This window comes from Homo sapiens, chromosome 20, assembly GCF_000001405.40.
Source record: "Homo sapiens chromosome 20, GRCh38.p14 Primary Assembly".
Taxonomy (NCBI): domain Eukaryota; kingdom Metazoa; phylum Chordata; class Mammalia; order Primates; family Hominidae; genus Homo; species Homo sapiens.
The window spans coordinates 48349295-48352915 of NC_000020.11; the positions used below are offsets into that span (position 1 = coordinate 48349295).

A 3621-nucleotide genomic window follows, 5' to 3' on the forward strand; every position below is an offset into this window, starting at 1 on the left:
AACTTGTGCACCGGCCAGATATGCCCCAAGCACTGCCAGTTTGCAATCTGCGGCTTAAGAAACCATACTTTTTTTCTCATAAGCAATTGCTTTCTCTTCTCAGAATTGTAGGTTACTCAGATGCTACTCAGAGGGGCCTTAAAGATGTTCAGTTCTAAGCCCATCATTTTAGAGGAAAAAGAGGCCAGAGATGAGCAGGGTCTTAACCAATGGAACAGAGCTGATCTGCAATTTCTGAAGGTCTCCATAAAAGCTGTGCCTCCTGAAAAATGGATTCACAATCAGCAACAGGGAGTAGGAGTGACCTGCTTGCATCAAGAGGATTGCTTATTTTGATTGTGGTTAAAACTACAGTCTTGTAGTTTGTTTATTGGCATTTTTCCTTTAAAAGCACTCCAGGAGTCTACGGTGATCAGCAATAGAAAGATAATTAAATTGTGATTTTCCCCATAATAGGCCAGTATAAAATAATGGAATGAACTAACCACAACTGCACACAAAGCATGGGTAACAAACATAATGCTGAGTGAGAAAACGAAACACAAAGGGTACAGACTGTGTGATTCCATTTGTACAGAGTCTAAAAATAGGCAATGCTAATTACTGAGGATGGAAATCAGGACAGTGATTATCCCTGCGGGGGCAGGGAGTGACAAGAAGAGAGAAGGGAAGATTCTGGGTGCTGATTCCGTTCTCCTTCTAGATTTGGATGCCCTTTCATGAATGTGTTCCATTTGGGAAAATTCAGTGAGTTTTACACTTATGAACTGTGCATTATTCTGCTTGTGTACTATATTTACTAAACAGTTTACTTAAAAATGGTCTCTCTCCTACGGGTTCCCACAAAGACTTTAAACTTACCTGATGTATGCCCCCAGCCCTAGGTGGACCTAACACAGATTTCCTGCAAGTTGCTCTGGAAGAATCATCTCATTCCAGCCCCGTGATGTTGCTGTGTGGCTCCTGGGTTTGGAAGCACAAACACTTCACAGGAGTTCCTGGGTTTTGGTTTATTCACAAACACAGAGATATGCTCTGACTGTGTTCAGACTTAGGGATAGTAGATGGCCTGACAGCGTCATATTGATTAGTATATATGAAAGCAGTTGCATTTTACTTCTATTCCATGGCTGAAGTCTAGCCATGGGGTGTTCTTAGATCTGGGCTGGGAGAGGAGAGGTTACTTAGCAACCATTAGTTGATGGCATGTGGGTGGAGGCGTTGACTCTACTTATAGCAGATACAAGAAATATCATTAAGCTTCATGAAGCCAGAACAGAGGAACTGAACTGAATAGTAATTATGATTAAACAAAAGAATGCGTCCTAGCAAGTCCCATGTTGTCAGTTTACGCCAACATTGAGGCCTCTAGCTCAGATAATTTGGACCTGCTGCTGGGTAGACTAACGCTCTAGGGTAAGTTGCAGTGACTGCAGGCAAGACTCCATGGACCTGGCATGCTCCAGAATCACCAGCAGGAGGTGCTGCTGCAAACACTCACCAGCCAGGCCAGGGCCCTGGTCCCTGTAGTTGCCATGGTGATGACCCAACAAAATGGAGTCAACAGGGAGAACTTGGCAGCCACTCTGATCTTGGTGATGTGCTTGAAGGGCTCTGCCCTGCCCTCTTCAAGGTCAAGCCTAAACAGTGAGGCAAACATATTGAAGCATTTGCTCTGCTTCCTCATTGGTCAAGTTGTTTCTCTGGTCAACAGTAGTCCAGGAGCTTCCTCCATAGACCACGGGTGCCCCATCCTGCAACAAGAAGCCAAGCATCCTCCCTGGAAGTGATCAGGCCCCAGCTGGGTTCATGGAACCTTCAGCTCACAAATTGCATCTAAGCTGTTCTTCCCACCAGCTTGGCTGAGGTTTGAAAACCATATTCCTTTTATTCCTTTAATTCTCTGTATTTTGCCTCTTTTAATATTTCTCTTACATATGCATATAAATATATAATTAAATATCCTTTCTAGGTATACCAAAATGGTCAGTTTAAGCTGGAAAATACATACTCAGATGCACACACACACACCCATTTTCCACTGGTCAAGTGGCTTTTGTCATGTCATTGAGTTTGAAGAAACCTTACCAAGCTTTTAGCCTGATCTTCAACCCATGACAGAAATTCCTTTTTCAGCATCCCTGGAGCCTTCTCAGCCTCTCTTTCCTTGAACACCCCAGGGGTGAGTACAGTATCACTTAGTAAGTTTCGGGTTGCAAATGGCAACAAAAAGTCAAACTGAACAAAACATTAAAGGGAATGTATTGGCTGCTGAAATTGAGTTGGAGGAAGCTCAGGCAGGCTCCACAGCCTTGGGGTCAATTTTTTCTGGTGGTCTTGCTTTGTCCTCAACTCTGAAGCCTCTATTCCCACTGGCCTTCCTCATGGTCACATAATGGCTGTCACTGCCCCAGATTGTTGTCTGCACTCCCCATTCTCCAGGTGGGAAAAAGTTTATTTTTTGGTCAATTTTTATTGTATTTTATTTATTTATTTATTATTTTTAGAGATGGAGGCTTACTCTGTCACCCAGGCTGGAGTGCAGTGGCACAATCATAGCTCACTGCAGCCTCAAACTCCTGGGCTCAAGCAATCCTCCCACCTCAGCTTCCCAAGAAGTTGGGACTACAGATGTATGCCACTGTGACTGGCTAACTTTTAAATGTTTATTTATTTATTTTTGTTTAGGGATGGGGTCTCACTATGTGGCCCAGGCTGGTCTCAAACTCCTGGCCTCAAGCAATCCTCTCACCTTGGCCCTCCAAAGTGCTGGGATTACAGGTATGAGCCACTGTGCCTGGTCAGAGGAGGTTTCTATTCCAAAAACTCCATGCATGCATTCAAAGTCCTATCCACTCTAAATGATTGACTGTGGGTCACATGCCCAGCTCTGAACCAATTCCAGTGGTCAAGGGGAATACCACATGCTCACTGGCCTAGCCCTGGGTCACGTGATCACCCTGAATCAATCACAGTGGTTAGACGAATGTGATCCTTTTGTGGACCCATCTTAAGATTGCTAAATGTTTTCATGATGAAGTATTTCTTTTATCTCAGCCACTTTTGATGATCCAGACTGAGAAACTAATTGACTCTTCCTCCAGTTCATCTTCCCACACTCCTGAGTTCACCAAACACCCTTAAGTCCTAGAGGTGGGGGCTGCAGGACTCACAGAGGAAATGGATGCAGAGAGCTGGCCTCCAGGCCCTTCATGGTAATAGAGGAGTAAAAATGCACACATGTGTGTGACCACATAGACAAACACACCCCAGTACATGCAAACACCCCAGCACACCTGCCCACATCTCAATACACATGCCCACATGCACACACATGCACACATACGTGGGCATACACAAATACCCCAGTATACATGCATACATCCAAGTACACCTGCCCATGTGCACACACCCCCCAACATACCCTCCCATGTGCACACATACCCCAACACACCTGCCCATGGGCACACACACCCTAACACACCTGCCCATGTGCACACACACCCCAACACACCTGCCCATGTGCATACATACACCCCAGTACACCCATACCCTGGCATATACCCCAGTCCATAATTGCCCATGTACACACACACTCCAGCACATCTGTCCATGTGCATA

The 3621-nt window shown here is 45.1% G+C and overlaps 1 annotated feature.

The window, feature by feature from the left end:
• Nucleotides 1373–1622: a silencer, noted in NCBI's record as "fragment chr20:46979410-46979659 (GRCh37/hg19 assembly coordinates)". NCBI's record gives its function as "represses an EF-1alpha promoter that drives an FKBP-Casp9 reporter gene in an ReSE screen in phorbol 12-myristate 13-acetate-treated (for megakaryocytic differentiation) K562 erythroleukemia cells {active_cell/tissue: K562(+PMA)}" and the evidence as "EXISTENCE:reporter gene assay evidence [ECO:0000049][PMID:32094911]".